This window comes from Homo sapiens, chromosome 17 (genome assembly GCF_000001405.40).
Source record: "Homo sapiens chromosome 17, GRCh38.p14 Primary Assembly".
NCBI lineage: Eukaryota > Metazoa > Chordata > Mammalia > Primates > Hominidae > Homo > Homo sapiens.
The window spans coordinates 21,237,546-21,259,618 of record NC_000017.11 but is presented as its reverse complement, the minus strand read 5'-3'; the positions used below and the strand labels follow the sequence as shown (position 1 = coordinate 21,259,618).

General features: G+C 55.2%; 1 protein-coding gene across 1 annotated transcript, besides 6 other annotated features; it reads left to right on the top strand.

The window, feature by feature from the left end:
- Positions 6,208-6,317: a silencer, noted in NCBI's record as "silent region_8316". NCBI's record gives its function as "represses an Ori minimal core promoter by ATAC-STARR-seq in GM12878 lymphoblastoid cells {active_cell/tissue: GM12878}" and the evidence as "EXISTENCE:reporter gene assay evidence [ECO:0000049][PMID:35858748]".
- On the top strand, positions 6,209-20,749 carry NATD1 (N-acetyltransferase domain containing 1). The gene is made up of 3 exons (NM_152914.3): positions 6,209-6,460; positions 15,395-15,513; positions 16,190-20,749. The coding sequence occupies exons 1-3, from the start codon at positions 6,355-6,357 to the stop codon at positions 16,304-16,306; spliced, it is 342 nt and encodes a 113-aa protein (NP_690878.2). The 5' UTR covers positions 6,209-6,354; the 3' UTR covers positions 16,307-20,749.
- Positions 6,468-6,587: a silencer, noted in NCBI's record as "silent region_8315". NCBI's record gives its function as "represses an Ori minimal core promoter by ATAC-STARR-seq in GM12878 lymphoblastoid cells {active_cell/tissue: GM12878}" and the evidence as "EXISTENCE:reporter gene assay evidence [ECO:0000049][PMID:35858748]".
- Positions 10,078-10,579: an enhancer, noted in NCBI's record as "H3K4me1 hESC enhancer chr17:21152353-21152854 (GRCh37/hg19 assembly coordinates)". NCBI's record gives its function as "activates a minimal SCP1, AML or CMV promoter by ChIP-STARR-seq in primed H9 embryonic stem cells {active_cell/tissue: H9 hESC(primed)}" and the evidence as "EXISTENCE:reporter gene assay evidence [ECO:0000049][PMID:30033119]".
- Positions 14,811-15,553: an enhancer, noted in NCBI's record as "H3K4me1 hESC enhancer chr17:21147379-21148121 (GRCh37/hg19 assembly coordinates)". NCBI's record gives its function as "activates a minimal SCP1, AML or CMV promoter by ChIP-STARR-seq in naive H9 embryonic stem cells {active_cell/tissue: H9 hESC(naive)}" and the evidence as "EXISTENCE:reporter gene assay evidence [ECO:0000049][PMID:30033119]".
- Positions 18,532-19,276: an enhancer, noted in NCBI's record as "H3K27ac-H3K4me1 hESC enhancer chr17:21143656-21144400 (GRCh37/hg19 assembly coordinates)". NCBI's record gives its function as "activates a minimal SCP1, AML or CMV promoter by ChIP-STARR-seq in naive H9 embryonic stem cells {active_cell/tissue: H9 hESC(naive)}" and the evidence as "EXISTENCE:reporter gene assay evidence [ECO:0000049][PMID:30033119]".
- Positions 20,022-20,766: an enhancer, noted in NCBI's record as "H3K4me1 hESC enhancer chr17:21142166-21142910 (GRCh37/hg19 assembly coordinates)". NCBI's record gives its function as "activates a minimal SCP1, AML or CMV promoter by ChIP-STARR-seq in naive and primed H9 embryonic stem cells {active_cell/tissue: H9 hESC(naive and primed)}" and the evidence as "EXISTENCE:reporter gene assay evidence [ECO:0000049][PMID:30033119]".

Below are 22,073 nucleotides of genomic sequence, written 5' to 3'. Positions count from 1 at the left end.
AAAAAAAGAAAGTAAAGGAATAAAAGAAGGGCTATTCCATAGGCAGAGCAGCAGCTTGAGCTGCTGGACTAAGGATAGTTTTTTGATTTTATATTAAACAACGGGTGGATTATCCATGAGTTTTCCAGGAAAGGGGTGAGCAATTCCTAGAGCTAAACCCCTTTTTAGACCACACAGGGTAACTTCCAGACATTGCCATTGCATCTGTAAACCCTCATGGCCCTGGTGGGGGAGTGTCTTTTAGCATGCTAATATATCCTAATGAGTGCATAACGAGCAGTGAGGACGACCAGAGGTAACTCACATTGCCATCTTGGTTTTGGTGGGTTTTGGCTGGCTTCTTTACTGCAACCTGTTTTGTTTTGTTTTTGAGACGGAGTCTCGCTCTGTCGCCCAGGCTGGCGTGCAGTGGCTCGATCTTGGCTCACTGCAAGCTCCGCCTCCCGGGTTCCAGCGATTCTCCTCCCTCAGCCTCCTAAGTAGCTGGGACTACAGGCGCCCACCACCACGCCGGGCTAATTTTTTTTTTTTGTATTTTTAGTAGAGACGGGGTTTCACCGTGTTAGCCAGGATGGTCTCAATCTCCTGACCTCGTGATCCGCCTGCTTCGGCCTCCTAAGGTGCTGGGATTACAGGCATGAGCCACCGCGCCCGGTCTTCTGCAAACTGTTTTATCAGCAAGGTCTTTATGACCTGTATCTTGTGCTGACCTCCTTTCTCATCCTGTGACTTAAAATGCCTAATTTACTAAGAATGCAGCCCAGCAAGTCTCAGCCTTATTTTACCCAGCCCCTATACAAGATGGAGTCACTCTGGTTCAAACGCCTCTGACAAGATCATGCCCCAATCCCTCCCAGATCAGAGTCCAAGCCAAAGTCCCCTCAATCCGCCTGCAGGACCTCTGGTCTCATCCCCTGTCCTCCAGGGTCTCTCTGTCCTAGCCACGCTGGCTTCCCTGTGTTCTGGAAACGCACCCCAAGGCCTCTGCACAGCCACTCTTTCTGCCCTTCCCCCTATACCACCTGATTCACTCCCTCACTTCCTTTAAGTCTTTTTTTTTTTTTTGACATCGAGTCTCATTCTGTCACCCAGGTTGGAGTGCAGTGGCACAATCTTGGCTCACTGCAGCCTCCGCCTCCTGGGTTCAAGCGATTCTCCTGCCTCAGCCTCCCGAGTAGCTGGGATTACAGGCATGTGCCACCACACCCAGCTAATGTTTGTATTTTTAGTAGAGATGGGGTTTCTCCATGTTGGTCAGGCTGGTCTCAAACTCCTAACCTCAGGTGATCTGCCCACCTGGGCCTCCCAAAGTGCTGGGATTACAGGCGTGAGCCACCACCCCGACCCCTCCTTCAAGCCTTTCATAAAAGACTCCACATCAGCTGATGTCTGTCCTGGCCACCCAATCTGAAACCATGACCTCCTCCAGGAGCACGCCCCTGCCCCCTGCTGAATCTCCCACTGGGCCATGTGAACGGCCAGATCATTATTTTCTTCTTTGCTTATTGTCTCTCCCCCAACTAGAGCATCAGCTCCTAAAGGGCAGGGAGTTTTTTGTTTTGTTCACTGTTGGGTCTCCTTATGACAGTACCTGGTATGCAGTAAGCATCCAATATTTGCTAAATGAACTGATGACTGACTGAATAAATGATATCCTACGTCTACAACCTGGTCTCCACATGGCCGGGTTTCGGCACATACTGCTTCCCCAGGGTAGGGAGGCAGAGCACATCCACTGACTCAGCAGACAGTAAATGCTCACTTGGTTCTTTTGTTTATCCTTGTTCCAGAAGGGATTTCTGCAAGGTGAAAAGATGCCAGTAAGCTAAGTATATTCAAAAGCAGGGGAGAAGAAAGGGAGCCAGAGACAAGGAAGACCCTGGCTTTTAACTGGCCCTGGTGTGTGCTGGGCTCTGCCAGGGACTGATGAGAGAGGAATCTGTCCTGGATCTAGGATAGCTGGGGAACAGACACTAAATAAATGTGACTGCAGAGATGAGGGCTTCCCAGAGGAGGTGATGTTTGGACAACAGCACATGCATAGGCCCAGAGGAGGGAACGAGTATGGCCGGTTCAAGAAATTTCAGGAGGCGCGGTGGCTCAAGCGTGTAAGCACTTTGGGAGGCCAAGGCGGGTGGATCACAAGGTCAGGAGATCGAGACCATCCTGGCTAACATGGTGAAACCCCGTCTCTACTAAAAATACAAAAAAAATTAGCCAGGCGCGGTGGCGGGCGCCTGTAGTCCCAGCTACTTGGGAGGCTGAGGCAGGAGAATGGCGTGAACCCGGGAGGCGGAGCTTGCAGTGAGCCGAGATTGCGCCACTGCACGCCAGCCTGGGTGACAGAGCAAGACTCTGTCTCAAAAAAAAAAAAAAGAGATTTCAGGAACACGTTCTGGCCTCCCTAAACCACTTAAGTGCTCTGGAGATGGAGAAGTCACCTGAGACACTCATGAGGTTACATCTTGCTTGCTCAGGACTGCAGCCAACATGACTCAGCTGAGGTCAAGGACTTACCTGACCCCAGAATCACTTTCTGTCTCCTTGCATGTAAAGACTCACTCTCTAGCCTTGTTTTGTTTACAAACTTCCCAATACAAGACACACTGGTTGAAATAACAATAAAAATATGCTAGCAGAGGTTAGTCTCAGTAAATATATCTGACAAAGGAATGGTAACTGAACAACAAAAATCACTCTAATGAATTTAAAAATTAAAAAAATTAAATTTGCGCCACAAAAACTGTGGCACAACAGTTGGCCAAAGTGTTCACAACAGGATATCCAAATGGCCAAGGAGCATATAAAAAGAGGCTCAACATCTCCATTCAACAGGCCGCCGCAAGTGAGAGCTACAATGTGATGCCACTTCACATTCAGAATGGCTAACTTGGAAAAGAGTGTACAACGAATGAAACTCTCAAAATTGTCAGCAGGAGTGTAAAATGGTACACCCGCTTTGGAAAAAGCTCTGGCAATTTCTCACAAAACTAAATATACACCTACTATAAGATCCAGCAAAGGCCAGGTATGGTGGCTCATGCCTGTAAACCCAGCACTTTTTGAGAGACCAACACAGGAGGATCACTTGAGTCCAGGAGTTTGATACCAGCCAGAGCAACACAGAGAGGCCCCCAACTCTATGAAACTGAAAAAAATTAGCCCAGGATGGTAGCACGCTGTAATACAAAATTAGCCGGGCGTGGTGGTGCATGCCTGTAATCCCAGCTACTCGGGAGGCTGAGGCAGGAGAATCGCTTGAACCCAGGAGGCAGAGGTTACGGTGAGCCAAGATCGTGCCATTGCACTCCAGCCTGGGCAACAAGAGTGAAACTCCGTCTCAAAAAAAAAAAAACCCATAAAATATATATAATTAGACTGACAAAACAGACTCTTTTTTTCCTTTTTTTTTTTTTTTTTGCTCACTGCAAGCTCTGCCTCCCGGGTTCGCACCATTCTCCTGCCTCAGCCTCCGGAGTAGCTGGGACTACAGGCGCCCGCCACCACGCCCGGCTAATTATTTTTTTGTATTTTTAGTAGAGATGGGGTTTCACCATGTTAGCCAGGATGGTCTCGATCTCCTGACCTCATGATCCGCCTGCCTTGGCCTCCCAAAGTACTGGGATTACAGGCGTGAGTCACCGCGCCCGACCCAAAACAGACTCTTTGTAGCACTAAGATAACAAATTCCAACCTGACTCTGGTATAGCATCGCATGACAGATAACAGGCCCCGAAGGAAATTAACGAATTTTACCCAAAAATATATTATTCGACTTATTTTGGAATGGCCCTGCAATGCCATCTCTTGTGGGGGAAATTTGCATGTGTGGAGAATCCCCCTCCCTTTCTGGGTCTTTTTCTGATTAAGGAGAGATTTGACTAAGAGTCTGACACCTTTTAAAGTCCTAAAAGAGACATTTACCATCTATTCTTTCTGAAGCCTGCTACTTAGAGGCTTCATCTACATAATAAGAACCTTGGCTTCCACACACCCCTCCTTATCTTAACTCGAGTATTTCTTTCTGACATCAACTCTTTTTAGGAAAAGCTTAACTCTTTCAACCACTTGCCAATCAGAAAATCTTTGAATTGGGGGGGTGGGGTGGGGGCGCGAGGTGAGGGTGGCTCACACCTATAATCCCGGCACTTTGGGAGGTCTAGGCAGGTGGATGAGGTCAGGAGTTTGAGACGGATGGATCGCCTGAGCCTGGGCAACATGGTGAAACCCCATCTCTAAAAGAAATACAAAAATATTAGCCGGGTGTGGTGGCCCATTCCAGTGGTCCTAGCTACTTGGGAGGCTGAGATGGGAGGATCAGAGGATATTCTCGGTAAATATATCTGACAAAGGAACGGCTTGAGCCAGGTAGGCAGAGGTTGCAGTGAGCCAAGATGGCGACACTGCACTCCAACCTGGGTGACACAGCGAGACCCTGTTTCAAAAAAAGAAAAAGAAAATATTTGAATACACCTATGAGCTGTAAGCCCCCACCACTTTCTGGATGGCCGAACCAATGTACACCTTACAGGTATTAGGTCTTTGCCTGTAACTTCTGTCTCCCTAAAATGTATAAAACCAAGCTATAACCCGACCACCTCCAGCACATGTTCTCAGGACCTCCTGAGGCTGTGTCCAGGGCCATAGTCACTCATATTTGGCTCAGAATAAGCTCTTCAAATATTTTACAGTTTGGCTTTTTTTGTCAACACAATGGAATAATTACTCAGTGGCGAAAAAGATGCAAAAACAGGGATGAATCTCACAGATAAAATATTGAGCAAAAGAAATTGGACATTAAAAGTACATATTGGACTGGGTGCGGTGGCTCATGCCTGTAATCCCAGTACGATGGGAGGCCAAGGCGGATGGATCACCTGAGGTTGGAAGTTTGAAACCAGCCTGGCCAACATGGCGAAACCCTGTCTCTACTAAAAATACCAAAATTACCCCGGCTTGTTGTTGTAGCCCTGTAGTCCTAGCTCCTCAGGAGGCTGAGGCAGGAGAATCGCTTGAACCCAGGAGGCAGAGGCTGCAGTGAGCCGAGATCAAGCCACTGCACTCCAGCCTGGGCGACAGAGAGAGACTCCGTCTTAAAATAAAATAAAATAGTATATATTGTATGATTATGTTTACATGATGGTCTAGAGAAACCTAATTAGTCAACAACACTAGAAGTCAGGGACAGTGGTTACCTCAAAGGGTAGGGCATTGCTTGGAAGAGGGCCCTAGGGAACCACCAGTGTTCTGTATTTTGATTTGGATGGTGGTCACACGGGTGTGAACATCAAGTTTGCACCGTAATTAGCAAAATATTAAAAGTAACCTGTATGATTCACTGCACAGCTATGGGCAACAGGAGTGCCCCTTCAGGTGAGCAAGAGGGGAGGGTGTGGCTCTAAGGTTGAGCCTTGAGGAGCCTAATTAAGGCGCCTTTCAAAGAAGTCTGAGCCCCAACAGTCCTGTGTGTCTTCAAGCAAGTCCCTGCCCCTTTCTGGGATTCAGCCTCCCCATCTATGGAGTGGATCCAGGGATCCCCAAGGCCTCTTCCCGCATTTACGCCTCTCTTTGGGAGAGGTGGCATTTCACTCCTATCCCAAACAAGGCTTCACAGGACAATTCCTTCCCAGTAGCCAGTAGCCACCCAGGCTGCCAACACGGGTGGGTGCGCACTCCTAGCACCAGTAGCCCCAGGGCTTCAGCTGCGTGAGAACTTATGCATGTCTTTCACTTGTCTTAGCCTCTATTTGCTCATCTGTAAAATGGAGTCAAGCATACCTATTTCTCAGGCTTCTGGTGATAAATCTCAGCGCAGTGATTACTGAGCGCCCTGTGCGCCAGGGCTTTGCTATACACAGGCCGTGCACACAGCAAGTGCTTAATAAATGGTGGCTGCCTTGGGGACGATTAGAATGTCCATACAAAAGATTGTTACGTCTTTTTTAGAAGGCTCCTTGCGGGGGTCCCAAAGTTGCACGTGGGACAAACGCAAGACGGAAAAGTAGCCGGCGCGGCGCGGCGGCGGCCCGTGTTGTTTTGTTTGGGGCTGCGAGAGGAACGCGGCCGGCGCGGCCCCTTTAAGAGGTGACTGGAATGTATCAAAACAAAAAGGCCGCGCGTCCACTGGCTGCGCGCCGCACGTGACCTCACAGCTGATTTCCTGGCCCCCCCCCCACCCTTTTTGTTGCTGCCGCCGCCGCCGAGTGTCACTTTCAGCGCCGCCGCCTGCGGTCTCCCAGGCCGTAACTACCCCACCGCCTGCCGCCTGCGCCCGCGCTCCAGCCCCGCCGCGCGCCTGACCTTTCCCCGCGCGCCCCGGCCCCCGCCGGCGCCGCGCCGCAGCCCCGCGCGCAGATGGCGCACTCGGCTGCCGCCGTGCCGCTGGGCGCGCTGGAGCAGGGCTGCCCCATCCGCGTGGAGCACGACCGCCGGCGCCGCCAGTTCACTGTCCGGCTCAACGGTAAGGCGGCCCCGGCCCGCCCCGACCTTTTGTCTGCGAGCGAGCGGGGCCCGCCGGGGCCGCCCCCTTGCTGGGTGCCTGTCCCCCGCGCGCCCGCGGCCCGGCTCCGGCCCGCCGCCCGGGAAGGCTGTTGCAAGCGCGCGCCGCGGGGTGGTCCCGGGCGGCCGGAGCTCCGGGCGCGGGCCGGGTTGTGCTCGGGGCCAGGTGGGGGCGCGGCCGGCGCTCCGGGAAGTGGAACGGGCTGGGCGGGGGCAGACTTCCCGGGAGAGCAGGGGCCAGGGCGGACAGGGGCCCCTGGAAAGGCAGAGGCAGGAGCTGGGGCAGCGCGGGTCCCCTGTCTCAGCCGCAGGGGACCCGCACCTGCTCAGGCCCACTTGTTCACGACTGTTGGGCACCCACTGAAGGCTCCTGTTTGAGATCCTGGAAAGTTGGTCAGCCGTGACCTGTCCCCTTCTGCGGGTGGTATATGGCTTCCTGCTGCCCCTGGGAATCTTAGTCTTTCTACACGGGGGAGGCCTGCGGACCTGGGGCTGACCGCGAAAGGGGCTTGTGGTCCCCTGGGGGGAGTGAGGGGCGGGGGGATGGCTATCACTATCAAGACTTCAGTGGCTCTGGGACTGGCCATTTGCCTCACTTCTGTGTGCCTTAGTTTCTCCCTCTCTGCAATGGGAATAATACCAGTGCACACCCCATTGGCTAGTTGTAAGGATGAAAGACTGTAACAAATGTAAAGGATCAGACCAGCTCATGGGGGATTAGTAAGTGCTGGTAAACGTGGCCCGATCGTGATTCGTGAAGCCAGAAAGCAAGGGCAAGTTCTCCCTTAGTGTAGAGAAGTTTTTGTTTTTTGAGATGGAGTCTCACTCTGTCGCCCAGGCGACACAATGTTCCTGTGACACAATCTCGGCTCACTGCAACCTCTGCCTCCTGGGTTCAAGTGATTCTCCTGCCTCAGCCTCAGGAGTAGGTGGGATTACAGGCACCCACCACCATGCCCAGCTAATTTTTGTATTAGAGACAGGCTTTCACCATGTTGGCCAGGCTGGTCTTGAACTCCTGACCTCAGGTGATCCACCTGCCATGGCCTCCCAAAGTGCTGGGATTACAGGAGTGAGCCACCACGCCCTGCCAGTGTAGAGAAGTTTTGATTAGCCCATCCCCCCTCAGGAGGTCCCACAGGTAGGAAATAGAACTACAAAAACAAGGGCTATGAACTCCCTGTGGCCCACCTCGCCCCAGTGGGAATGTCCAAGCTGGACCGGTCCTTAGGGGCCACTGTGCCCATTTTCAAGAAGGGAAGGTGGAGGGCCAGGAAAGGGAAAGGCTTGCGAGAGGTCAGGCTGAGAGTTGGGCAGAGCTGGGATGGCGTCCTGACTGGTCTGACTCCCTGAACGGTGGGGCTCCTGCGACCCACATTTGGCTTCAGCCAGGAGGGGCCTCTGCCAGATCTCCGATGCCATTTGGAATGTGCCGAGTGTCGAGCCAGGCCCCACTACAGCTTCGTGGATGGGACTGTCACAATACCCTGACAATGTTGTGACATACCACCCCGTGTTACAGATGAGGAAACTGAGGCTAGGGACCTTAGGAAGTGATTGCCCAGCATCACCCAGAACTTCACCATTGGCCCAACCAACCCTACACCACCAGGCAGAGGCAAGTCCTGCTACTGCTGTGGTGCTGGCAGGGCTCAGCTGGCCAGGACACTCGGGGCCCTGGCGACTCTGGGAGAGAGGCCTCATGGCTTTCAAATCCTCTCTTCTGAGGTTCCAGAGCGGCCTCTGGTTCCCTTGTGGGCTCGGGAGGGCCATTATACTCAGAGACAGAAAGAAGAGGGGATACGTTTGTTTTTTTTTTTTTTTTTTCTTTTTCTTTCTCTTCCAAGTGGGTACAGCCAAAGGACAGCCCTCCAGAGCTGGCCGTGGTCAGGGCTGGACATGCCCAGCCGTATTTCTAAACTTACCCCCTTCTGGAATTCACTGCCCAGATAGCTGACCACAGATGTGGCTGGGCATCTCCCCAGCCAAGCCCAGGGGAGAAAGAAGAGAGAGGCCAGAGGCCCCCAAGGGAGTGGCTGTGCAGCACAGGGTGGGGCTCTTCTGGGCTTCCAGGCCCCACTGGGTTTGGGTGTGTGTCTTGGGACCAGAGAGGGGTCGTCTGAGTCTGAGCCCAGGCCTCCCTGAGCTGAGGAGGACAACAGGCTGTGGTGTCATTCCCGACCTGTAAGGCAAGCCTGGAGGCTGGTGCTGTTGTGCCCACTGAGAGATATAAACACTGAGGCTGAGGGGTCAGGTAGCCCCAGGCTCCTGGTGCAGAAGTGTTCCTAGGCTGTCCACATAGCACAGCTAGGCTGATTCTCTTCCTGCGAGCTCTGGTTCTGAGTGAGGGAAAACGTTTGAGCACCTTTGTTTATTAAGCATTTACAGTGTTCTAGGAGGCCCTGGGCACCTGGAGTCACTTTATTTCATAGCCACACACCACAGGGAGAGGGGAAACTGCATTTCCCATATACAGATGGGGAGACTGAGGCATGGGGAAGTGAAATGACTTGCCCAAAGTCTTGCACCACAGAGGTGGAAGAGCTGTGATTCACCCCGCAAGTATTTGTTGAGCACCTACCATGTACCAAGCACTCTTTTAGGTGTCGGGGTCTCCTGGGGCTGACAGTTTAGAGAGGGAAATGGACAAGAAATAGAGTCAGTTTTAAAGTATCCTGGAAAACAAGGGCTTTCATGAGAGGTGCAGGGGGCAGAGGGGAGGCTGTGTTGGGCAGGGCTGCTATTTACAATCATGTGTCTAGGAAGGCCCCTCCCTGGAGGGTGGCATTTAAGTGAAGACCTGAAGGAGGCAAGAAACAGAGCTGCAACAGGGAAGAGTGTTCCAAGTGGAGGGAATAGCAAGAGCAAAGGCTCTGCAGTGCCTGCGATGCCTTGTGTGTGCAGGATGGGTCAAGAGGTCATGGGGAGCAGGTGGTGCAGGGCCTGGAAGCCGTTGTCCTATGGGCTCGGCTTTGACTCTGAGGCTCCCAGGAGGGTCCTGAGCAGAAGACAGATGGGATGCCCCAGCTCCCTCTAGCTGCTGCTCTAAGGGGAGCAAACTGTGGGGACCAGGACAGAGCAGGGAGGTGGTTACTTTACTAGTCCAGGCACTGCAAACAGGCGTGGGAGAAACGTCTAGATCCTGGACAGATGTGGAAGGAAGCATGGCTGTGACTTGCTTGTGGGTGATGAGGGAAGGCTTGAGCTCAGGCTTGTCTGATGCCATATCCTGGTTCTGAAATGCAAGCTTGTCATTACTTTATAGATGGGGAAACCAAGGCGCACAGCCTGTAGGCAGCTAAGCCAGAATCAAGCCCCCGGCCTCCATCTGAGGACGGTTTCTGAAGGTTGGAGGCAGCTGGAAGAGACCCCCACCTCCTGGGCAGCCCCTTCCTTAGCCTTCCCTTTCCCTCACAGGCAGGGCTGAGTGTCCCACTTGCTGCAAGGAAAGGAACACTTGAGGGGTGCAGAACCCTGGAACTTTCTGCGTCCTCCCTAACCCCCATTTTGCAGCCAGGAAGACTGAGGCCCCAGAGAGTCAGCTGCTGCCCCTGGCCTCCCTCAGCACCCCTGGATGCAGTGGAGCTAAGATCACAGCCCCAGGCTTTGGGAGGTGCTCAGATCACAGCCCCAATATGAGGCCGCTGGCTGTGTTGGGCTGGGCTGGACCAGGGTCCTCTGGGGAGGGGAGGGACGTATGGTTGAGCTTCTCCAGGCTCACAGCTCCCTCTGCCTAATCTACCAATGAACCACCAACATGTGGCACCTCCCTGATCCAGGCTCTACTTACAGAGGTGCCAGAAAAGCCGGCCAGGGTGTCTGCTTGTCCTTGTCCCGTGCCACAGCTCTGGCGCCTGGGCTCTGCCTCCGTCTACCTCAGTCTCCTCATCTGTATATTCGCGTTTTGATCTGCCAGCTCTCCTTGCGGGGTCAGTGTGGGCCGAGTGGAGAAAGCAGAGGTCAATGTCTTCTGCAGACTCCACATCTCCCAGAGGTCCTGCCCCTGTCCCCTGTCTGCAAGCTTTGGTCTTTCTCTGTGATCGCCTCCCCTGACAATTTCCTGGCCCCCTTTGGTCCCGAGGTTCAGGAGGGGCAGAGAGAGCATGGGGGTGCAGAGACCCAGGGACGGGTCCCCCACGAGCAGTGTAGCTTTAACTTTTCCCAAACCAGTCACGTGATGCTGGTGGGGTTCTCAGGCCCAGGAGGGAGGAGGGTGGTAGTGATCATCCAGGGACAGGTGAGGTCTCTGGGGCAGAGGGGTGTCAGGACTGGCATAAGATCACCTGGCAGAGTTGAGACTGGAACTGAGGGCCCTGCCCTGCCCTAGGCTTGCTCCTGTGGCTCCCAAGTGACAAGTCTTGCCCCCCTGTGCTAGTCTGAGGTCTGGAGTTCTCAAGGCAGCTCTTAGAGCTGCCCAGATAAGGGCCTGGGCCAGGCCCAGAGGCTATGCCTATGTCACTGTGAGCCGAGACAGCAGGATCCACAGTGCCCAGAAGTGAAAGCGTGGCTGACAGTGCTACCCTGGTGTCCTGCTGTCCCATCATGGGGGCTGCGGGTGGTCAGGGGAGGCTTCTGGGCACGTGACCTTTGGGCTCACCTGAAATGAGAAGGAAGGGTCCCCGGAGGCCCTGGGCAGAAAGGTGACAGGCAGGGGAGCAGCCACCAAGGCAGGGAGGCCAGAGAGGCAGCTGGACCCCAGGCATGTTTAGAAAGCCATGTCCACGGTCCTGCCGAGGGTCAGGTCAGATGAGAAAAGGTGAGGAGGAGCCAAGGACCTTGGTCAAGCTTTGGGGACTTGGGCATTTTCCTGGGATGTCCAGGCAGGTTTGGGGCAGGACAAGGAGTTGAGCGTGAGGACCGGTATTGCATTTGTGGCCTGTGTCATGGGTGTAACACTTGTGACTGGGTGGCCTTTGAAGGCCCTCCAAGGTGGGGTTCAGGTCCTGGCCAGATGCTCCGAGGTTGCTGCCCAGGAGCCTGGCTCCTCGCTGGCCCAGTGCCATGTGGTCTGGCCCATGTAGGGTGTCCATTTAAACTCGGTCTTTTCCTCACATACAGCCCCACCACCACCGTGGCCACCCCAGATGCCCTCTGTTCCCCTTTCAGCCTGAAGACCCTCCTTTGACTCAGCCCTATCCCCAGTCAACTCCATACACCTCCGTGACTCTCATTCCAGGTGAGCCCAAACGTCACCTGCCCAGAGGCCTCCCCTGACTGCCCGCAGCACCCATGACGGGACAGCAGGACACCAGGGTAGCACTGTCAGCCACGCTTTCACTTCTGGGCACTGTGGATCCTGCTGTCTCGGCTCACAGTGACACAGGCATAGCCTCTAGGCCTGGTCCAGGCCATAGGCCCTTATCTGGGCTAGGCTCTAAGAGCTGCCTTGAGAGCTCCAGACCTCAGACTAGCACAGGGGGGCAGGACTTGTCACTTGGGAGCCACAGGAGCAAGCTTAGGGCAGGGCAGGGCCCTCAGTTCCAGTCTCAACTCTGCCAGGTGATCTTACCCCAGTCCCGACACCTCTCTGCCCCAGAGAACTGACCTGTCCCGGGATGATCACCACCACCTTCCTCCCTCCTGGGCCTCGGTTTCCCCATCTGTACATGGGGCTGTGAGAATCGTGTTTAGTGGGATGGTTGTGAGGATCGTTGTGTGGAGAGAGCAGAGCACGAGCCTGCCCTGTGCTGGGGCTGCACACGCTTGGGCCACCACCGCTTCTGTCCTGCTGTCTCCTGGGAGCCACAGCCTGAGGTGCAGGCCTGGCTGTGGGAAGGCCAGCATGCTGGTCCAGCCAGTTGTCCACAGGTCTGCCACAAGGCCCTAGTGTGTGTCTGGCAAAGACAGAAAGCAGTTGTTTTAGTTGGACAAACATTTCTTGGGTGTCTACGCCGAGCTGGGTGCCTGGAATATGGTAGTGGCTGAGCTGTGCGATCACTGAGGGTCAATGGGAGGCAGAGAAGTTCTGAGGACTCCCAGGGTCAGGTCCATCCATGGCCCAGGTGGCTACTCCAGAAACACTGACGCAGGGTGTGCACAGAGGAGTAGTAATGAGCTTGCCAGGCTTCTTGTATCCACCTCCCTGCTCTGCAGAGACTGCTGGAGCAAAAGCTGAGGTTTTTTTGGTGGCTTGCAGGGCCCTGTGTGGTCTGGCCCCAGGATCTCTGACTTGGTTTCCCAACCCTCACTCCCGGCTTGTTTGGGCCCAGCCACTCTGGCCTCCTTGCTCTTCCTTCAACCTCCTACCCCAGGGCCTTTGCACGTGCTGTTCTCACCAGTGGGCGGCTCATACCCCACATGTCCTTTGGGGTCCTTGTATGCCCTCTTTACAGTGGCAGCCCTGCCCCTCCCCACCCCTCCTCTGCTGTATAGTGATCCTTGGCACCTGTCAGCTTATCACCTGTGTGGCCTCTGTGATGTATGTATTTATTTAGAGACAGGGTCTCACTCTGTCACCCAGGCTGGAATGCAGTGATAACAATCATATCTCACTACAGCCCCAAACTCCTGGGCTCAAGTGATTCTCCCGCCTCAGCCTCCCAAATAGCCGGGACCATAGGTGTGTACCACCATGCTCAGCTTTTTTTTTTTTTTTCTTTTTTTTTTGAGATGGAGTTTTGCCCTTGTTGCCCAGCCTGGAGTGCAATGATGCGGTCTCAGCTCACTGCAACCTCTGCCTCCCGGGTTCAAGTGATTCTCCTGCCTCAGCCTCCCAAGTAGCTGGGATTACAAGCACCCGCTACCATTTCTGGCTAATTTTTGTATCTTTAGTAGAGATGGGGTTTCACCATGTTGGCCAGGCTGGTCTCGAACTCCTGAACTCAGGTGATCCACCCACCTCGGCCTCCCAAAGTGCTGGGATTATAGGAGTGGGTCACCGTGCCTGGCCCCTGTATTATTTATAATGATATTACTTATTGTGTGTCTTCATCAGTACGTAAGATCTCCATGAGGAAGAGTTTCATCAGTTTTGTTCGCTGCTGCCTGCCCTGCAGCCCAAACCCTACTGGGACACAGTAGGCCCTCAATGAGCCTGGGGTAATTAAATGGCCAGGCTAGGTAGGCAGCTCCCTTGGTGACGGAGTCAGTCCCAGAATAGCCTCCGATCTCTGCTCTCCTGTCCTGGGTGAGTTGAATTAACCCCAGCAGGTGGGGAGCCAAGAACCACATCCCTTGCTGTGCAGCCAGGACAGGCGGCAGTGGCCACAGCTGGGCCTTGGCCAGGGTGGCAGGCATAGTCCACAGAAGGACAGTCAGGCCCACAAGGAGGAGGCAGCAGGGCTGGTGTGGGGGCGGGGCTGCAGGCATGAGGGGAGTGGGGCTGGGGAACCCTCAGCTGGGCCTGGCAGGAACGGAGAAAGGGCATCAGGCAGAGGGAAGTGCCTAGGCGATGGCGGGTGCAGGAAGTAGCAGGTGTGTCGGTGGAGCAGAAAGAATGGCTGTGGCTCAGGACCTGCAGGCCTGGGCTCCAGCGTCATCTTGGCCTGCTGTGTGACTTGGATCCCTGCATCTCAGTAGTTCCTCATCTGGAAATGGGGAGATGAATTGTAGCCACTCTCCTGAGGCTTTGGGGAGAATCAAAGGAGATACCAAGAGCCAGAAGGCCTCCTTGCTGCCGTTGGCCCCAGTTCCGGTGGCCCTGGACTAGTGGTTGGACCTCTTGGCCTGTCAGCCTTCCCCTCGTGTTGCCCAGCACAGGCTTTAAGGGCAGATTTTCTGGGGCTTTGAAGTTAAAACTCATGAAACACAGCATGATTTTAAAGAGTGAATCACATCTGTCCCTTTGCTGAGGGCCTTCTAGTGGCGCCCAGCTCAGAAGGCTTAGGAGGCTCTGCAGGACCTGCCCTATCACCTCCCTGCCCCCATCTCTGCCCTTCCCCTCACCCACCCCACTCCAGCGGCCCCTCATTCAGGCCTACTCCTGCCTCAGAGCCTTTGCACTGGCTGTTCCCTCTGCCCAGAACACTGTTCCCTCAGAATGGCTGGTGCCCTCTCCTTCCTGTCTTCACCTGCCCCCATTCCCTGGCATCCTACACATCACTTGCTTTTCATGTTTATTCTCTTTCTCCCCTTCCGGTTTCATGGGGGTAGGACTCCATGTCTAGCTTGTTTGTTGCTATACTCCCAGCATCTGAAACAGTACCTGGGGCTCAGGAAACATTTGGTGGATGGATAAGTGGATGGGTGGGTTGATGGATGGGTAGGTGGAGAGACAAATAGATGAGACACTAAAAACTGTGATTAGGAAAAAGTTCAGTTAATTGTTTGCCCAGCAGCAGTTTGGGGTGGACTGGTGAGCTCCAGGCTTGGCAGGCCTGGTGGAGTGTGAAAACCCGTTTGTTCCTGCCTCCTGTGCCCAGCGTCAGTTTCTCATGAACTCTACCACAGGCCTCTGATCTTTCCTGCTGCGTCTCTCTCAGGGTCCAGCAGGTGGTCCTGATGCGTGGCGCAGCGCTGCCTCTCTAATCTCTTCATGCTCTGCCTTAGTTGCAGATTTGCTGAGCCCTGTTCTGTGTCCAGTGCTGGGTTCTGGGACTCCCAGATCCAGGGATGTGGTGGGGTGGGGATGCAGGGAGCAGGGCTACAGAAAGGGGTGGCAGGGCCCTGGGATGCTAGGACTGACGCAGTAGCAAAGGTTCATGTGGGGCTCAAGTGTTCTAGGCATGGCTGTAAGCACGTCACAGAGGTTACCTCATTTAATCCTCCAAACCACCCTATGAAGGACATTTTATTGTACCTCCACTTTATGGATGAGGAGACTGAGGCACTGAGAGGTTATTCAGGATTCAGCTGTAGCAGCTGAATGACTCCAAATGCCTGTCCCTCCACCCGTCTTGGTGCCTGAGTCCGCTGGGATGGGAGTCAGCATAGGCTTACCTGTCTCCACAACCCCCAGGATGTCATGACCGGGCCGTCCTGCTCTATGAGTACGTGGGCAAGCGGATCGTGGACCTGCAGCACACCGAGGTCCCAGATGCCTACCGTGGGCGTGGCATCGCCAAGCACCTTGCCAAGGTAGGGCAGGCAGGTGGCAGGGCCAAGCGGGGACGGGGACATGGGGGCTGCCACCTTCGCTCCGAGGAGACGGTGGCCCTGGTGGCCACTTCAGCCTGCTTCTTGGCCCTGGGTCCTCTCTGGGCCAGTGGCCGCCTTTCTGGGCCCAGGCTCCTGTTCTGCAAGACCCTGGCGTGGCTGAGCCTCCAAGATCCTCACACACCTCCTGTGTGGCAGGTGCTTCACAGGAGCCCCATTCCTGCCCCCAACCCCTTCATCCTCAGGGCATCCCAAACCCCAGGCTGCCTGGAGAGCAGGTTTGGGCTTAATGAAGGGAGTTACAGCCAGAGCAAAGAATGACCGTCACTCCCCTGAGGGCTGCTGCTGGGACTTAGCTGGGCCGTCTGCCGGCTTCCCCTCCTCCACCCCCACCCCGCCAGGAGAATTGCAGGGCAACCTTTGTCCTCCATGCTGCCTGGGGCAAGGGGGCTTGTAGGGGAGAGGTGATGTGTTTTTTCCTTGTGTACCGGACCAGTCTGTGGGGATCATCCCAGGTGACACTGAAACTCAAGGGAGTTACTGACCTGGGCAAAGTGGAAGGGTGGCCAGGGAGCCGGGCCTGGGGAGGCAGCAGACAATGCTACCTTCTGGTGCCGGCTGCAGGCCCTGACCACTCTCCTCTCTGCCCGGCTCCCAGGCCGCCCTGGACTTCGTGGTGGAGGAGGACCTGAAGGCCCATCTCACCTGCTGGTACATCCAGAAGTACGTCAAGGAGAACCCCCTGCCGCAGTACCTGGAGCGCCTGCAGCCGTAACCCTGGCCTGCAGGCGGGAGCGCTCCCTGCCGGACTCTTCCACGTGGCCTTTGCCTGGCCCCACGTGCTCTCAGGAACCTGGTCCCACTGGGAACAGACTCAGAGTTATTTTTGTAAGGACACTCATCTGTGCCCCACGTCCAGATCCCTGGAGGCAGCTGACCAATGATGGGCGGTGACCCGGTAACCGAGGCGGCAAGGAGGCCAGGTAGTCCCGGCACCTCTCACTCTGCAGAGACCAGCGGCTTCGTGGGAGGCCTGTGGGTCACACGTAGGGGCTAGAGCCAGCCTGCATCCTGCCCACCGGGCTCCACTTGGAGATCAGCAGGAGGGCCAGTGTGGGACCCCTGCTGCCACCTCTCCTGGGCCTGTGTCCTTTCTGGAAATTAAGAAGGTGTGCTCCAGAGCCAAGAGGAGCAATAAGAAACCTCGTGTGCCAGCTTCTGAGGGTGGCAGTGCCAGACCCCACCTGCCAGCGGTGCTGCCCCTTTCTCAGACCCCCATGCCCAGTGCAGGCAGGGCCCTGGAAAGGGTCAGCTCTCCCTGACAGAGACCAGCAGAGTGAAGGACTGAGCACTGGCCAGGCTCAACCGTACGTGCGGTTCACACATGTGAACACACAGGATGCAGTCTACAGGCGGGCTGGTGGTGGGTGCCGGGGGTGTTTTCCTCTCCTTGGTACCCCCATCTTTTTTTTGGCCTCTCGTGTAGGTTCTGCAGGAAACCAAGGCCCCATCCCCATGGGCTGCTATCCCCTATACCCCTGTCTGCCAGGAGGAGATCCAAGGGGGCCTGAGCAGCTGCAGGCCCGCCCCTTGCTGGCCTTGGCCACCTGCCTGAGCCTTCTCCGAGGAGATGCCTTGGGGCTGGGGTGGGAGTGAAGCTGACTATTCTCCAAAAACCACCCTCAGCATCCAAGAGGAAGAAACATCAGCCACAGGGGTTTCTGTGCTGCTGCCAGACATCAGTGTCCTCTTTTGTGGCTGGCTACAGCCGGATACACTTTGCTGCCCATCTGGCCCTGGGCTCCTCCCCAACCCAGCCTTCCTGGGTGCAGCCTGGGAGACACACTAGCATGCTTTGGTGGGACCAGCCTTTCCAGGGCATGCTGGCTTCCCCTGGGGCTGACTCAGGTCCCGCCCTCTTGTGTCAGTGCTAACAAGGATCAGATTCGTCCCTGCCCTTCTGTAGAGCTGGAGGGTGACCTGGAGCCAGGGGCCCTTTAGGGCTGAGACATTTGTTAGTCGGAGTGATGCATCCCTACCCGGCTTCGGGGGGAGTCAGGCTGGGCTCTGGGCAGTACAGGGAGAGGTTCACCAGGACCCCCATGCCTTCCTCCCCCGGTGCAGGGGCAGTGGTCACCATGCTGACTCCTCCCTTTGACTCCATGCACGGGCGCTGGCTGGCCTGTGGTTGCATTTCCCACTCACCTCCTTGCTATCCCCAGTCTTGGCACCGAGACCCCCCACATTCCTTCTCCAGCAACAGCAGCCCAGGGGCCTTCCTGCCTGGACGCAGGACCACGGAGACCTGCATGTGCAGGGAGGCCTGGCAGCCTGCCGATGGGGGTCCCCGAGCCCCGGAGTCTCCTCGAAACCCCTGCTGTGGGTCACAGCATGGACCAGGAGGGGTCACCATCCTGAGTACCCCCGACATCCCTGCCCCTTGACCTGTGGCAGATGCTCCTGCCCTGGCCTCCAGGAAGTCAGCTCTTTTGCAAAGGGCTTGTGTGAGAGGTCGGAGAAAGCCCTGGGCCTCCAGGGAGATGCAGCTGGCAGGAGGTGGGCTGAGCTGCTCCGGGGCTAGGGGTGGCCCATTGCTGGCAGAATTTAAGGAAAGAGCAGGTTGTAGGCACAGAGGATGGGCAGCCAGGCCTGGGCCTTCCCCTTACTGTCCCAGGGCAGCAGAGCTAGGGTCCTCTTTTACCCTCCCTAAGGTCACCCCCTTCCCATCTACACGTCCCTCCCCAAGTTCAAGCACATAGTCAATCATGACCACTCAGGAGCTCAGTGAGCTGGGGCCATGTCCCTGTGGCCTCCAGCCCATCCGCAGGAGGGTCCCTTGCAGTGACAGCACAAAGAGTCCCCCACAGGAAGCCCCTGAGGGCCAGCATGGACCTTGAGAGCCAGGAGGGAATGGGCCTGGTGCCACTCTGTTCCCACTCCCACCTAAGATTCCTACCCCTGTGTTCTAGCAGGTGACTCTTGATCTGGCCAGCCCACAACAAATACTTGAACTAGGCAGCATGGGGTGGTGGAGGCCTGCAGAGGCCCCGGGCCCAGGAACTGAGACTAGGGCTTTCTCATGAGGCCTCATCAAGCTCCCGCAGGTATGACCTGGCCTCCTCGCCTCGGGCTGCCTTAAAGCACCGCTAACCCACGCCAAGGGGCTAGGCAGGGCTTCGCGGGGCCTGGCCCAAGGTCTCCAGCAGAGCAATAACATCTTCCCAGGTTGGGTTGCCACAGACACCGTGCCCTGGAGCCCCCAGCCCATCCCATCTGGTGCTACCCTGTCTGCCTGGCAGCCTAGCCTCACCCCTCCTGTCCGGTCACCTGGGGGTCCTTGGTAAGGATGCCGCCACATGGGGCCGGTTTATGCACCTGGGCGAGAACCTGACTGGGGCAGGGGATGCTCAGGGGCCTGCAGGTCTCCCACAGAGCTGCTTTTCTGCCCGCCTCACCCTGTGGGTTTGTATTTCTTGCCGGGTCAAAATAGGCAGTGACTCGTGCCTTCCCTCCTCAGGGCCGGCGGCAGGGTGTGGACCCAGCTGGCCGCTGGACCGTCCCCTTCCTCATTCTCCAAGCTCATCAACAGGTCTCAGAGGAACATTTCCATAAAAGGTGTGGCCTGGCATGCAGTGCTGTCTGCACGCTGTCGCTTCCCCCACAGCAACCTGCCGGTCAGCCTTAACTGGTGTGGAGGTCGAGGTGGGGAGGGGGAGGCGGGCTTCCCTCCCTGGTGTCTGGCCTCTTTTTGCTCAGCCCTCAGCACAGCCTTCAGCGTGGAGAGCGAGACCCTGCGTGTCACTGGGGCTTGGCTGAGGTCTCCCTGCAGGATAACAGTGACTTCAGGAACCCAGACCCCAGTCTGGGCGGCTCTACCTTCCCGGCTGGCCCAGCCCCCACACCACAGTTCCCTGCCACCTCCAGGCACAAAAGCCTCTGAGGCCACAGCCCAGCTATGAAGCTGAGTGGCTTTGTGCGGTCTCCTAGGGAAGGGGCAGTGATGCCATGCATGAGATCCGCTGTGCCATAAGAAGTTGCTTCCTTTAGAATTTCTGGTCCAATGCAGGGAGGTGAGGCCCAGCCTCATGATAACACATGCCCATCAAGGAAAAGCTGTGGCTAATGCTTCCAAAACAAGTGAAAATCTTGCACCAGGCCCAGGGCCATATCTCATTCCGCCCCAGCTACTGAGGGAGGGGACAGACTGCTGGAGGACAATTTCTCCTAGTTACCACTAGGGGTTACATGGCTACTCAGAATGAAAGATAAATTGCCAGGCCTGTTGCAATCTTTTTTTTGAGATGGGAGTCTTGCTCTGTCGCCCAGGCTGGAGTGCAGAGGTGCGATCTCAGCTCACTGCAACCTCCACCTCCCGGGTCAAGCAATTCTCCTGCCTCAGCTTCCCGAGTAGCTGGAATTACAGGTGCCCACCACCATGCCTGGCTAATTTTTGTATTTTTAGTAGAGACGGGGTTTCACCATGTTGGCCAGGCTGGTCTTGAACACCTGACCTCAAATGATCCGCCCACCTCGGCCTCCCAAAGTGTTGGGATTACAGGCGTGAGCCACCTCACCAGGCCCCGTTGCAATCTTACTCCACTTCGTTTTCACAGCAGTCCCGGGACATGCCCATTATTAGGCCTATTTGATAGATGATACTGAGGCTGAGTCGGGGGTCACAAGCCAAAGCCACACCGCTAGAAGGGCTCAGGACCCAGCCCAGCTCCCGTCCTCTTGGTGGCATCAAGCTTGTGTGATATGAGGTCTTATGTCTGCTCATGACAGCCTTAAAAGCAATAAACAGATACAACTTCCAGCAACTTCCCACTCAGCTGCAAGGCTGCGGGGGGGTCCTGCCTCGAGCCATAAGGTGAGCAGCTAGCCAGTGCCGGGCCAGTGTGGAGAAGGCTGAATTGCCTGTGAAGCTGGGGTTGCAGGCAGGAATATTCATGGAGCCCCTGACCATGTACTCACACTGCTCTTCCTCAGTTCAGGGTTCTTGGATTTGCTCAAGTCCACCCAAATATCCCTTTACGATTCTCAGGGTCCCACTCCTTCCAGATCCAATGCCCTAAACTTTACATAAGAGTTCCGGCAAGGCTGTGACTTCAACTTGTGTTGTAACTGCAACCTGCAGAATCAAATTTAGGGTTATGTTTTCAGTTGTATCAGTCTTACGGCTACAAGATATTAAAGAGATTCTTTTCTGGTTATCAAAGATGCTCTCTGGTTTTCTGTCCATGTTTTGAGCTGGGTTTATCACTTCTGACTCCAGTGTAGTCAGAAGCCACCAGTCTCTCCAGCTGTCCCCATGACATGAAGGGCTGCAGCCATTTGGTCTCTCAAACTTTGCCTTCAAGAGACACTTCACGCCAGGCACTTAACATAGGTGATATTGTGAGGACTAGTTTTGCCACTGAATGCTGTGACTTTCCAGGGTACCACATCCCCTCTGACAGTGAGGTCATTACTGCGTTCCAGCCCAATCCAGGCAGATAACCAGTCCCCGATTTCCAGCATTAAGGCTCTATTTCTAGGAAGTCATTCCTGCTACCAAGGACATTACCAGTCAGTGAAGAGTCAGGAAAATGGAAATTGCCCAGGCACTTCAGAGTGGATTTAATGCAGGGGACTGGTTATGAAAACTGTTGGAAGGATGAGAGGAGTGAGAGTGGAGGTGAGATTGCCAAAATATTGGTAAGTAAGTGCAGGAAGCTGCTTTTACATGGAGGCTGGAGGAACAGGTGTCACCCAGAAGCGTCTGGGGATCACAGGGCTGCTAGGGTACTCCTGGTAGAAAGTTGATGGCTGAACAAGACCCAGGTGTGCATGCCTGCTGTTGCCACCACTAAAAAAACCCCCAGATCCAGGAACTTTACTGCCTTCTGATTGATCAGTGCTTCCTACCAGCAGAAACAAATTGGAAGCCCACTGGTAAGGGCTCTAGCAAATGTAGTTTGCAGGCTTCCAGCTTCTCTGTGATCAGAGAAGGGAAGGGCTGGCAACCAACAGACAATCAGGGCAAGGAGAAATATTCTTGCCTGCAGGGGCTGTGGCATATGACATAAATGCCAGTTCATTGATACCAAGGCTGAGGCAAAGCATCTAGAGGATGACAGACCCCAGAACCAGGCAGACCAAGAATGGATGGATAGTGGGTAGATGATTGGGTGATAGATGGAGGGGTAGATGAGTGGGTGGATGGGTAAGTGGGTGGATGGATGTGTGGACGGGTGAGATAATGGTTATTAGCAATACCAGCTCATCTGCCATCACTAATACCAGCACATCATGCACTGGAGTGCTAAAAGTAAAAGGTCCCTTGTCTTGGGAAGAGCTTGTCTGAGGGTCGAGGGAGACACTTGTAGGCCATTAAACATGGAGTCAGGTGGGAGATCTGGCTGGGTGAGATTCTATCATTTTCTGAATTAGGGAGAGGGTGGAACCCAGGAGTTGAAAGACGGGGCCCCTTGAGCGGTTTGTTCCTGAGAGTTGTCCTGATTCAAGAGGAAACTTGATGGGGTCATACATTGGGTGTGGAA